The sequence below is a fragment of the Homo sapiens genome, chromosome 9, assembly GCF_000001405.40.
Source record: "Homo sapiens chromosome 9, GRCh38.p14 Primary Assembly".
Taxonomy (NCBI): Eukaryota; Metazoa; Chordata; class Mammalia; order Primates; family Hominidae; genus Homo; species Homo sapiens.
In genome coordinates, this window is record NC_000009.12 from 31,368,973 (window position 1) to 31,383,389 (window position 14,417).

At 36.9% G+C, this 14,417-nt stretch overlaps 1 long non-coding RNA gene across 1 annotated transcript, besides 1 other annotated feature; it reads right to left on the minus strand.

Moving 5' to 3' along the window:
* Positions 979-1,148: an enhancer, noted in NCBI's record as "experimental_108019 CRE fragment used in MPRA reporter constructs". NCBI's record gives its function as "activates a minimal promoter by MPRAs in K562 erythroleukemia cells, with activity observed for both the introgressed and non-introgressed 9:31370034 variant alleles {active_cell/tissue: K562}" and the evidence as "EXISTENCE:reporter gene assay evidence [ECO:0000049][PMID:34662402]".
* LINC01243 (long intergenic non-protein coding RNA 1243) lies at positions 2,639-12,518 on the minus strand. The gene is made up of 2 exons (NR_135134.1): positions 12,387-12,518; positions 2,639-3,227 (listed from the first exon to the last, which is right to left on the minus strand). It is a non-coding gene; the product is annotated as a long intergenic non-protein coding RNA 1243 (long non-coding RNA).
* Between the last annotated feature and the right edge of the window lie 1,899 nt (positions 12,519-14,417).

Genomic DNA, 14,417 nt, shown 5'->3' on the forward strand with positions numbered 1-14,417 from the left:
CAAAAACAAAAATAGCAAGGTGTGGTGATGAGCACCTGTAGTCCCAACTACCTGGGAGAGTGAGGCAGGAGGATCCCTTGAGCCCAGGAGTTTGAGGCTGCAGTGAGCCATGATCAGGCCATTGCACTCCAGCCTTTGGCAACAGAGAGAGACTCTCTCTCAAAAAACAAACAAACAAAAACAAAGCACAGCATAAAACCAAACAGTGATAAATGAGATTAACGAAGAATGGAAATCTGGATTATGTAATAGGGTGTGTTGGGATAGGTTGGAACAGCAGGGGGGCATTTATAGTGGGCAGTGAGGTGAGGCCTTACTGCCAAAGTGCCATTTACCTGAAAGATGAAAGACAAGAAATAGCTGAAGGAAAGGCAAGCTAGATGGACAAACACAGAGGCTCTAGGATAAAGATGAGCTTGGTGTTTGAAGAATAGAAAGATACCATGGGTTTGAGCCTGATAGGTCAGAGGAAGAGTGCTGTGGAATAAATTTAAAATCAGGTAGTCAAGTCTTTTGCTACTTGGAGGCCAAAGTAAGGAAAATTGATTTTATTTCAGGTGCTGTGGTTAAGAGGCAGAGGACTTTCACCAAGAAGAGTAATCTGGATTTGTTTACGTTTTACAGATCATTCTTGTTTCTGTATGGAAAACAGACAGTTCAGGGAGCTAGAGATATAACAGTGCAACTTCTAAAGTGAGTGTTGTAGTATTAAGGAAAGAAATAAAGAAGTCTGGGCCAGGACAGTAGCTGTGAGGCTCGAAAGAAGTGAGGTAATTCAATAGCTGTGTGATTATTGAAGTCCTAGATTTTGGGGGTTTTGAATAGAGCTACTAGATGGTTTTATTTGTTGCATTAGGGAAGACTAGAAGGAGAATACATTAGTGGTCAGTAGAAGGGGAGAAATCATAAGCTCGTGTTTGTCATTGTGACTCTAAGATGGAATTTTAAGCAATCCTACTTACTGCGTATATAAATTTGGATCTCAGTGGATGAGTCAGAGCCCTTTTCATGGAAGTGGTTTTATAAGTCAAAATAGTAGATGACAGCACTAAGGGAGACACCGTAGTTAGAGGTAAGAGCAAAGAAATCTTTCGGAAGTCCCTTAATGCGGTTTCCCTTTAAATCTATGCCGCCTAACACTCACCATAATAGCAAGCACATTTTTCTCTCTCTTCAGAAAAATATGAAACTAGAACCGTGTTATTTAATAAATTACAGGAAGTTCTGCAGTGCCACATTTCATATAAAAACTATTCACCCACATTTCAGATTTAAATATTTTTATTATAAATTAACAAATTATAGTTGCATATATTTATGTAGTACAAAGTGATGTTATGATTTATAAATACAACATGTAATAATTAAAACAAGCTCACATATCCATCACCTCAAATATTTATCCTTTTGTGGTGCGAATGTTTGAAATTTATTCTTAGTAATTTAAAAATGTACATTATTAACTATATTCACCACACTGTGCGATAAATCTAAAAAAAAATCTTATTCCTCCTGTGTAACTGAGGCTATGTGCTCTTTGACCATCATCTCCCCATTCTCTCATCCCCCGCCCCATTCTGCTCTCTGCTTCTATGAGTTTGGATGTTTCAGATTCCACATATGAGTTGGAACACATGATATTTCTGTTTCTTTGTCCAGTATATATCACATAGCATAATTTTCTTCAATTCCATTCATTTTGTTAAAAATGACAGAACATATTTCTTTTGTAAGGTGGTGTGGTATTGCATTGTGAATATATACCATTTTCTGTTTGTCCGTTCATCTGCTGATGGACACTTAGGTTGGTTCCACAATTTTGCTATTGTGATTATTACTGCAAGGAATGCTGGAGTGTAGGCATCTCTTCAACACATTGATTGTAAATCTTTTGGGTAAATACCCAGAAGTGAGATTGCCGATTCATATAGTAATTCTATTTTTGTTTTTTTGAGGGACCACCATACAGTTTTTCATAAATGACTATACAAACTTAACTATCCACCAACAATGTACAAGGGTTGCCTTTTCTCCACATCTTCACCAACCCTTGTTATGTTTCATTTTTTTACAATAGTATTTCTGAAAGATATGATGTGTTATATCATTGTGATTTTAATTTGCATTTCACTAATTATTAGTGATGTTGAGCATTTTTCCTACATCTGCTGTCCATTTGTATGTCTTCTTTTGAGAAATGTATATTCAGAACCTTTGACCAGTTTTAAATTGGATTATTTGTTTCTTTTCTGTAGAACTGTTTGAATTCCTTATATAATTTGGATATTAATCTCTAACAGATCTACAGCTTGCAAACATTGTCTCCCATACTGTAGGTTGTATATTCACTGTGTTGTTTCCTTTGTTATGCAGAAGCTTTTCATTTAGATATAATCCAATTTGTCTATTTTTGCTTTTGTTGCCTGTGCTCTTGGTGTCAAATCTAAAACAAATCATTTCCCAGATCAATGTTGTGTAGTTTTTCCCCTGTGTTCTCATGCAATATTGCTCTTTCTGCTTTCTACTAGGATAGTAGAAGTCTAATAGAATTCTTTCCAGGTTTTGTTTCAAGGACTATGCTGCATAAAGCTAATTTGAATTTCCCAATATTAAAGTTACTAAACCATCACTCCCTTTGTGAGCAAAAATTACTCCTTTTTTAACTTTATTTGAAAAATTGAATGGTAACACTCATTTGGGTGCAAAGAACAGCTGCATTTTTATTGTCTAAAGTAATTCAATTAGTGGCCATTCTTTAATACTTTCATGATTTCTCTTGACTATTTTCCTTATCAGAATGCAGACATGAAAAGCACATATATCTTTCTGAGAAAAAAAAATCTTGCTTTTATGAAGAAAATATAAAACTAATAGTGGAAGAAGAATGTGGATGGGTTGAGGTGCCTCAGGCCTGGACTCATCTGTCTCACTAAGTGTGTCTCCCCACAACTTACCTCCAGCTTCTGCCTTTCCTGAACACACACATTTTTATGTTTTCTGCATTCAAGTTGAATCATTAGATTCTAATAAAGTCCTCTGGGAAAGACATTATATCTTTCAGACACTCATATAAATCAGAACACCACCTAGGCAGAATAAGTATTAGCTGACACCCAAAGTTAGAAATGGCTTTGGTAATTAAGGTAGTACTGTGTTCCTGCTGTCACTTCCTATATTTTTTTAATCAACACATTTCTTAGTTCCAATGTCTTTTATGCCGGAGATTTCTAGAAAAAGAGAAAACAAGATAGCGTCATTGTAGAGACTGACCTGGGAGTGTGCACGTGACTTTATCTTTTTCTTTGCTATTACTATATTTAAACACGGTTTATTACTTAATATGGAGAAAAATAAAATGAAATTAAAGAAACGGTAATAGAATTACAAACACTGAATTGAAATTATGCCTTTTAATGCAATATGACCAGAAAATTTCATCATATTTCTGTATTTTTACCAAATATATCAACATAGAAATAAGCAAAGCTTTATTATCAGAAAGACATGGTATCCTTATATGTGAAACTCTGAGAACATAAACTGCTCATGATCCTTTTCCTTATCATATTGCAACTACACCTGTGTTTAACTCCATTTAGGCATTCCAGGGAAATGTAAACAGTATCACAGTTACTGCTAAAACAAACATTAAAAATAATCGTGTTAGGGATATCATTGATTATTTGGTCCAGACAGTAAATTCTAAAGCCATTTGTGTACTCACACATATTGTATCCTGGCATTTATAATTTCACATTCTTGTAAGTGATTTCAAAACCCATCTGATCCCTGCTATTCTAGAATATAAACATGAATATTTATTATTTTGTAATGGACACTAAAACTTTCCTTCATAAGTCGAAAGTCTAGTCTTTCTCCGTTATGGCAGATACTGCTGAATGAAGCCAGCCATCTTGATATTTTTCAGGTTTATGTAATATGAAGGATGAAGAACATGAGTAGTCATGGGAATCTCAAGGGAGCTAAGTCTCTGTTATGAAATATGCCCTCTGCCTAGTCAGAAATGACTCAGTACTCCTCTGCCGCTCCATTGTCTGGGAATATTCAGAGCAAGGTGAATTGTTGGCAAAGTGTCATGCTATAAACCTCACAATCAATGCACTCGTCAGAATGGACATCTTTCATTCAGTGGTAGAAAGAAGCAATAATAACAGTTTAGAGGCTGCTTATTGAAATAATATTCTGGATGCAAGCACTTAAAAGGACTTGAAGTATTACCCAGTGACCTCTGGAAGAAAACTGCCTGCTTAGGGGACCTACTGTCTCATTGTGCCTTTCCAATATATTGAGAAGTAACTTGAGATTGAGATGTACTTGAATGACTATGACATTGTCTAGCAAATATTAATTTTTTCTAGACATTAATTCTTTCTGGAATCTCCCTAATTATAAGTGAACGGGCCACCTCAAAAACACCTATCAGAGTATTTCAGTCATTGACACTCATGCCCAGAAAAATGACTAATAAGCTGTGGTTTTGTTGCTCTCGTGGTCTGTCAAAATCTGAAGGTTTTTCTTTTTAATTTTTTTTATTATACTTTAAGTTCTAGGGTACATGTGCACAACGTGCAGGTTTGTTACATATGTGTACATGTGCCATGTTGGTGTGCTGCACACCCATTAACTTGTCACTTACATTAGGTATATCTCCTAATGATATCCCTCCCCCCATCCTCCACCCCCACCCCATGACAGGCCCCAGTGTGTGATGTTCCCCTTCCTGTGTCCAAGTGTTTTCATTGTTCAATTCCCACCTATGAGTAAGAACATGCGGTGTTTCGTTTTTTGTCCTTGCGATAGTTTACTGAGAATAATGGTTTCCAGCTTCACCCATGGCCCAACAAAGGACATGAACTCATCATTTTTATGGCTGCATAGTATTCCATGGTGTATATGTGCCACATTTTCTTAATCCAGTCTATCATTGTTGGACATTTGGGTTGGTTCCAAGCCTTTGCTATTGTGAATGGTTCCACAATAAACATACGTGTGCATGTGTCTTTATAGCAGCATGATTTATAGTCCTTTGGGTATATACCCAGTAATGGGATGGCTGGGTCAAGTGGTATTTCTAGTTCTAGATCCCTGAGGAATCACCACACTGACTTCCACAATGGTTGAACTAGTTTACAGTCCCACCAACAGTGTAAAAGTGTTCCTATTTCTCCACATCCTCTCCAGCACCTGTTGTTTCCTGACTTATTAATGATCGCCATTCTAACTGGTGTGAGATGGTATCTCATTGTGGTTTTGATTTGCATTTCTCTGATGGCCAGTGATGATGAGCATTTTTTCATGTGTCTGTTGGCTGCATAAATGTCTTCTTATGAGAAGTGTCTGTTCATATCCTTTGCCCACTTGGTGATGGGGTTGTTTGTTTGTTTTCTTGTAAATTTGTTTGAGTTCTTTGTAGATTCTGGATATTAGCCCTTTCTCAGATGAGTAGATTGCAAAAATTTTCTCCCATTCTGTAGGCTGCCTATTCACTCTGAGGGTAGTCTCTTTTGCTGTGCAGAAGCTCTTTAGTTTAATTAGATCCGATTTGTCAATTTTGGCTTTTGTTGCCATCGCTTTCGGTGTTTTAGTCATGAAGTCCTTGCCCATGCCTATGTCCTGAATGGTATTGCCTAGGTTTTCTTCTAGGGTTTTTATGGTTTTAGGTCTAACATTTAAGTCTTTTTTTTTTTTTTTTTTTTTTTTTGAGACGGAGTCTCGTTTTGTCTCCCAAGCTGGAGTGCTGTGGCGCGATCTCCGCTCACTGCAAGCTCTGCCTTCCGGGTTCACACCATTCTCCTGCCTCAGCCTCCCGAGTAGCTGGGACTACAGGAGCCCGCCACTGCGCCCGGCTAATTTTTTGTATTTTTAGTAGAGACGGGGTTTCCCCGTGGTCTCGATCTCCTGACCTCGTGATCCACCCGCCTCGGCCTCCCAAAGTGCTGGGATTACAGGCGTGAGCCACCGCGCCCGGCAACATTTAAGTCTTTAATCCACCTTGAATTAATTTTTGTATAAATGTGAGGAAGGGATCCAGTTTCAGCTTTCTACATATGGCTAACCAGTTTTCCCAGCACCATTTATTAAATAGGGAATCGTTTCCCCATTTCTTGTTTTTGTCAGGTTTGTCAAAGATCAGATGGTTGTAGATGTGTGGTATTATTTCTGAGGGCTCTGTTCTATTCCATTGGTCTGTATCTCTGTTTTGGTACCAGTACCATGCTGTTTTGGTTACTGTAGCCTTGTAGTATAGTTTGAAGTCAGGTAGCGTGATGCCTCCAGCTTTGTTCTTTTGGCTTAGGATTGACTTGGCGATGTGGGCTCTTTTTTGGTTCCATATGAACTTTAAAGTAGTTTTTTCCAATTCTGTGAAGAAAGTCATTGGTAGCTTGATTGGGATGGCATTGAATCTATAAATTACCTTGGGCAGTATGGCCATTATCATGATATTGATTCTTCCTATCCATGAGCATGGAATGTTCTTCCATTTGTTTGTGTCCTCTAGAGAAGCAAGAGCAAACACATTCGAAAGCTAGCAGAAGGCAAGAAATAACTAAGGTCAGAGCAGAACCGAAGGAGATAGAGACTCAAAAAAATCAACGAATCCAGGAGCTGGTTTTTTGAAAAGATCAACAAAATTGATAGACCGCTAGCAAGACTCATAAAGAAGAAAAGAGAGAAGAATCAAATAGACACAATAAAAAATGACAAAGGGGATATCACCACCGATTCCACAGAAATACAAACTGCCATCAGAGAATACTATAAACACCTCTACGCAAATAAACTAGAAAATCTAGAAGAAATGGATAAATTCCTCGACACATACACCCTCCCAAGACTAAACCAGGAAGAAGTTGAATCTCTTAATACACCAATAACAGGCTCTGAAATTCAGGCAACAATTAATATCTTACCAACCAAAAAAAGTCCAAGACCAGATGGATTCACAGCTGAATTCTACCTGAGGTACAAGGAGGAGCTGGTACCATTCCTTCTGAAACTATTCCAATCAATAGAAAAAGAGGGAATCCTCCCTAACTTATTTTATGAGGCCAGCAACATCCTGATACCAAAGCCTGGCAGAGACACAACAAAAAAAGAGAATTTTAGACCAATATCCCTGATGAACATCGATGCAAAAATCCTCAATAAAATACTGGCAAACCGAATCCAGCAGCACATCAAAAAGCTTATCCACCATGATCAAGTGGGCTTCATCCCTGGGATGCAAGACTGGTTCAACATATGAAAATCAATAAATGTAATCCAGCATATAAACAGAACCAAAGACAAAAACCACATGATTATCTCAATAGACGCAGAAAAGGCCTTTGACAAAATTCAACAGCCCTTCATGCTAAAACTCTCAATAAATTAGGTATTGATGGGACATATCTCAAAATAACAAGAGCTATTTATGACAAACCCACAGCCAATATCATACTGAATGGGCAAAAACTGGAGGCATTCCCTTTGAAAACTGGCACAAGACAGGGATGCCCTCTCTCACCACTCCTATTCAACATAGTGTTGGAAGTTCTGGCCAGGGAAATCAGTCAGGAGAAAGAAATATAGGGTATTCAATTAGGAAAAAGGAAGTCAAATTGTCCCTGTTTGCAGATGACATGACTGCATATTTAGAAAACCCCATCGTCTTAACCCAAAATCTCCTTAAGCTGATAAGCAACTTCAGCAAAGTCTCAGTATACAAAACCAATGTGCAAAAATCACAAGCATTCTTATACACCAATAACAGACAAACAGAGAGCCAAATCATGAGTGAATTCCCATTCACAATTGCTTCAAAGAAAATAAAATACCTAGGAATCCAACTTACAAGGGATGTGAAGGACCTCTTCAAGGAGGACTACAAACCACTGCTCAACGAAATAAAAGAGGACACAAACAAGATTTGAAAGTTTAAAATTTCTCTTACTGGAAAACAAACTTGTATCCCCTCCAAAGAATCTATTAGCAAGTTGGAGCCTTCAGGTAATAAAGCTTTACTATTAAAAAATATAGGCTGGGCGCGATGGCTCATGCCTATAATCCCAGCACTTTGGGAGGCCGAGGCGGGTGGATCATTAAGGTCAGGAGTTTGAGACCAGCCTGACCAACATGGTGAAACCCCATCTCTACTAAAAATACAAAAATTAGCCAGGTGTTGTGGTGCGCACCTGTAATCTCAGCTACTCCACAGGCTGAGGCAGGAGAATCGCTTGAACCTGGGAGGCAGAAGTTGCGGTGAGCTGAGACTGGGCCGTTGCACTACAGCCTGGGCAACAAGAGGGAAATTCCATCTCAAAAAAATAAAAACAAAATAAATAAATAAATAAATAAATAAATATTATGTTACCAGTGCAAGTTAACTCTAACTGGTTTTTGATAACTCCTTTTTTGCAAGGCACAGGGCAGATTATAATCGTCCTGTTATCTTTTATTACTACATGGGTTTTAATGGACTTTCTGTTTATTGATTTCTCTTCCTAAATAATCATCCTTGAAGGGATGCATAGTGCTGCTTGTGCTGAATAATTGATAGCATATAGAGTTACTGGGAAAGCTGTGACAAGCTAGAGGATGTCGCAGAAAGAGGCTTAGTAGCACAGCGATAAATATCATAAGAGGCCAGTGCTGTCAGGAGAGGAATATCATATGATTAATTGCTCTATTACTTTTTCTTGGTCTTCAGAAAACAAAGAGGATATTAAAAAGGAAGTAGAAAATAAAGCACTTTGTTGAGTGTCGCTTCTTCTTATTCATTCATTGGGGTAGAGGGTGAAAGAAAATGCTTTAGTTTCTGTTATATCTTTATTTATGGAAAGCTGATGCAATAATAGATTCTGTTCAAATTGTATGGAAAGACATTCTTCCATAATGATGGGTTAATTATTTTAATTTTACAGGAGTATTCAGAAAGAATGTCTATTTCCAATGAATTAGCTATTATTTTGAATGCGGATTATTGAAGGAAACTGGAAATGCCATAACTGTTAGTACAGTAAACATGAACTGCATCAGAAACAGTCCTGGTGCCCAAAGAAAATGGGGATTTGTATTTAAAATTTAGGTTACGTTTGTTTTTAATTATTGACAAATATTATATCAAAAATTTCCTTAGGAGTGTGTGGTTATAAACTTATTCTGTAACCTTTTACATACACACACATACACACACATATAGACATGTCTTGATGGCTTCAATAGAAATAAAAATCGGTTTCACATTGTATTAAAGCACATAACCTCAAAATTATCATGAATTCTGCAAACTTACCTTTATGTAATTATACAATAATTTGTTAAAAGTATCCGTCTTGCAAATAAAAATACAATTTTAAAAAATTCTACTGTAATTTTATTTCTCAAAATGTACATCCTAAATTTTAATTTGATATTATCAAGTTTCCAAATCTCACCAGAGTGCTAGGCTGGATATATATGTGTATCATGGAGCCTAGACAGATGGATGTATATTGAAGCCATATGTAAGAGAATATATTTTAGAACTTTTTATTGCCAAAAAGTGAACTTGGTACCTTAGTTCTGATAGGATGAGTAGGGCAGGGGTGGAGGTTAATATGCATCTTCTGTAGTCAACTTTGGTATTTTGGTTTCTCTCTATCTACTACCTTCTAATGTGTGCAAATTTTTTACCACCTAAACTACCCCTAATTACGTAACTGCTTACAGGCTGATTTTTTTGTGCGTTTTTTTTGTTTGTTTGTTGTTTGTTGTTTTTTGTTTTGAGATGGAGTCTTGCACTGTCACCCAGGCTGGAGTGGAGTGGCACGATCTTGGCTCACTGCAACCTCCACCTCCCAGGTTCAAGTGATTCTCCTGCCTCAGTCTCTCGAGTAGCTGGGATTACAGGTGCCTGCCACCATGCCCAGCTACTTTTTTGGATTTTTAGTAGAGACGGGGTTTTACCATGTTGGTGAGGCTGGTCTCGAACTCCTGACCTTGTGATTCGCCCAACTCGGCTTCCCAAAGTGCTAGGATTACGGGCGTGAGCCACCGTGCCTGGCCTACAGGCTGATCCTTTGAGCAGAATATATTACAACAGAAATCTCCACAGTTTATCTGTTTAGCACAGTGTATGCCATAAACATGGATCATTCTCTCCCATTCATCAAAATAGTGTACATGCTGATAAGATATTGTTGCTTTCATCCAGCTCCTGCCATTTCTATGAATTTTAATCTATAGATACAAAATAAACCTTGTAAAATTGTTACTGTATCCCTATAAATTTAAACAATAGCTCTAGTTTTGAAACAATAGCATAGTGTATAATTTATTTTCTTCTTTAGCTTTAAAAATATGATGACATATCCCATATACTAGGATTTGTTAAAAATATATGTACATACATTGTTCATATTCCTATTTGAACCTTTGAGTAAATACCAAATATCAGAATTATCTCTACTGAAGGAAGAATGTAGTTCTTATTTAACAGAAATAATTAAGTTCATCCAATTTTACTTAGCTTTTCAGTATCAGTTCCAAAATCTCATACTGGATTATTTTCAAAACTTAAACATATTAATTTACAAAGAGTATTTTGCTAAATAACATAGGAATTTTAATTAAATTACTAATTTAGGACTTAACAGCCAAGGTCATGATAGGTGCTATGGAGAACAGAAAGCTACAGTTTATTATCCACCAAGCGGCCAGATATTACTTTTAAACATAAATCAGATTATTTCCTTTCTCTACTTAGCTTTCCTTGGCAATTTGTACAAAGTTCAGAACCTACAACAGGGTAAATCAGACAATAAATAAGCCAAAAAATCTGGACTCTTACTAACTCTCCAACCTCATGAAATGCTACTTTCCCCTTAGCTCTCTAGGATCTAGCCCATTTGCCTTCTTTCTATTCTCCCACCTTGGACTTTTACATTAGCTTTGCCTTAACTGGGAATTACCTGCCTACATCACTTTGCAAGGTGATCTCTATTTGTCAGAAGCCTCAGTTTAAATGTCTCTTCCTTAGTGAGGCCTTCTCTTACGCACAAGTTGCAAATCATTGACTATTGTATCACTCTTTTACAGACTTTTATAGTATATATCAGTGTCTGAAAATGTCTATTTTGCTTAATTATTTAATTAATTAATTTGCTTCTTCCCAGCATTTACCTATTGTGATAGGCAGAAAAATGGCCTTCCAAAGATGTCAACATTCTCAAATCTGAAACTTGAAATACGTTACCTAACATGAAAAAAGGGATGTGGTTCTAGATGTGGTTAAATTTAAGGACCTTGAGATGGAGCGATTATCCTAGATTGGACAGGTATGCCTAATCTAATCACAGGAACCCTTACAAGTAGAGAAACTTTCCTGACTGTAGTCATTCAGATAGACATGTGATTGTGGAAGAAAATCACAGATGGGTGCGACACTGCTGGTTTTGAAGATGGAAGAAAGGAATCACAAGTCAAGGAATGTGGGTGATCTCTAGAGCACAGAAAATGCAAGGAAGCTGATTCTCCCCTAGAGCTTTCAGAAAGACATGCAGACCTGCCAACACCTGGATTTAAGCCCAATGAGTCCCATATTGAATTTCTGACTTAAGAATTACAAGATATTATTTTTGTACTGGTTAAGCCATCAATATTATGGAACTTTGTTAAGGCGGTGATAGAAGACTAATACAACCATGAAAACCTCAAGATCAGAAACCCCATTCATCTGTTTCATTCTCTATGGCCAGAGCCTAGAAATGGGCATGGTGCACAGATGGTACTCAATAAATCACTGTTAATACACAAACTCATGTTGAAATTGACCAGAAATAAACATAACCTTAAAGATATGTATTGGATAAGACATATATTCTTTTTAAATACAATTAAATAATATTTTATCAGCTAATATATATTCTCCAAATTTCTCTAGACATTATATATTATAATAACACAATTATAAGTAAAAGAGTACATTATCGCTAAAAATATCCCCTATATGCTTAATGAAATAAATGACTGATAAAGCCTCCCCTGAAATGTGTGCAAAAGTCAAGAGAACAGTAGAATGAACACCGTGTACTCATCTCCCAGCCATACAATTTATCAACTCATTATCAGTCTTGCTTCATCTCATCCCATCCATTTTCTTTTCTTTATAGTATTTTGAAGCAAATTCAAGACTTCATGTAATTTCAACAGCAAATATCTCAATATGTATCTTTAAAAGGTAAGGACGGAATATATCCTAATTAACAATTTCCAAAGTTACAACAAGTCATTTTTGCCCCCTTGATTCTGTTACACCATCTATATGATTTGATTTGGTCAATGAGGCATTACTCGATGGGATACAGAGATGCTTGAACAAGTTAGTGTGTATTTCCTCTACTTACCCTTTCTCTGTGCCATTACTGTGAGAACATTCCCAGTATAGCCCACTAGAGGATGAGAAACATGTGGAATGAGCCAAGTCACCCCAGTCATCAAAGCTAAAGGCATCCTAGCTCAGCTTCCTGACAGTGACTCTAGGCTTGTGAGTGAGCCTAGATGAAATCACTCCCCTATAGACCTGAGCTAAACAAATGCTCATTGTTCTATGTCACTGAGTTTTGAGGGTTATTAGCATGAAAATGGCAATAGATAAGTCATATAAGCGTTCTACGTTATAAATTAGTGATCGGTTTAGCAGAGATCTTTAATCTCATTTTTCCCCCCGGGATAAGGATTTAGGTTTGAGGAGACCAAAATCTTATGAAAGTTGGAGAGCTCTATTTGAGAAAAAGAATAACACAGAACAAATACACAATGGGGCATGAAAGTGAACATATTTTCAGAATGAAAAAAATATATGTAGTAGCCTTGGTAATCTAGGTACCTGTATTGTCAGGTTTGTTTAGCCAAATAATTGCAATCTGGCTTCCGATCTCTACCCAAAACATTCAATAAACTCCAGCACTCACAGAGGCCCAAGAGCTTAAAGAAGAACCAGTTCCATTAGTTTTACAATAAATCTGACTCTCCTCTTACTTAATGGTATAATTTATGTAAAGAGAATGTCAAATGAAGTACTATTAAAATAAGATAATAATTTTAACCATTTTTTTTTCTAGTGCCTCACACGGGGTGCCTTTGGGATAAGAAGTAAGTAGCCAAAATTCCTGGGCATATGGAGAACTGTGAGGTTCATGCTGGAAACTGTGTTGCTCATATTTCAGAAGTGCTGCAGAGTACTAAGCGCAGTGTAGAGACACACTTGTCATGGCATTATTCCTTTTTCTCATATCTTTCCAGACTTCTGATAGTTTCATTGATTTCGCTTGTTTAAGGAAGAACTCCATTCGAGTATCAAACTAAGTAGTCATACTGCTTAAGACCTGCCAGGGCCATGAGGAGTATCTCCTGATTGGACCTTGACAGTGTGCTAATTATTTGTGACATTTTTGTAATAAGGGAATTGTGCTGATAAAAATAAATAAATCCAAGATATTCTTCTTACAGATTGTCTTATTAATCTCAATTGTATGTATCATCTGGGGTAGGATGAATTTATTCATGTCACAGAAACCACTTCATTCCTAAATATGCTGAAATTATTGGCTGAATTTTCATTAGAAAATGGGAGTACAAAGCTGGGTCTTTGTTGATTAGAATATCAGTAATTTGAAAGCTAATTACATTAAGATTTTAATCTCCACATCTTGGATTTAAAAGCATCTAAGATTTTTTTTTGTAGTTTCAGTTCTTTTTTTAACGATTATACTATAAGTTTGGGGATACATGTGCAGAATGTGCAGGTTTGGTACATAGATATACACATCGCATGGTGGTTTGCTGCACCCATTATCCAGTCAACTGCATTAGGTAGTTCTCCTAATGCTATCCCTCCCCTAGCCCCCCATCCCCCAACAGGCCCTGGTGTGTGATGCTCCCACACCCTGTGTCCATGTGTTCTCATTGTTCAACTCCCACTTATGAGTGAGAACATGTGGTGTTTGGTTTTCTGTTCCTGTGTTAGTTTGCTGAGAATGATGGTTTCCAGCTTCATCCATGTCCCTGCAAAGGACATGAATTCATCCTTTTGTATGGCTGCATAGCATTCCATGGTGTGTATTTGCCACACTTTCTTTATCCAGTCTATCACTGATGGGCATTTGGGTTGGTTCCAAGTCTTTTCTTTCAACCTTTTGCTGTGGATAGCAAAATGCAATTTAAAAATTTGGTTATGTAAAAATAAATTTTGAATAATGTTTCTATGGAATCCTTTTGTTTTAGCCTTTATTTTTTCTTGTATATACAAAAACAGATATATCCTATTAAAATAAATGTGTTTCAGATATATGAAACAAAGAATGTGAGTGCCCAATATTTCAACCCTTGCTCCGTCCTGTTCATGACTAGAACTGTGCTAAATTTACTGGTGTCTT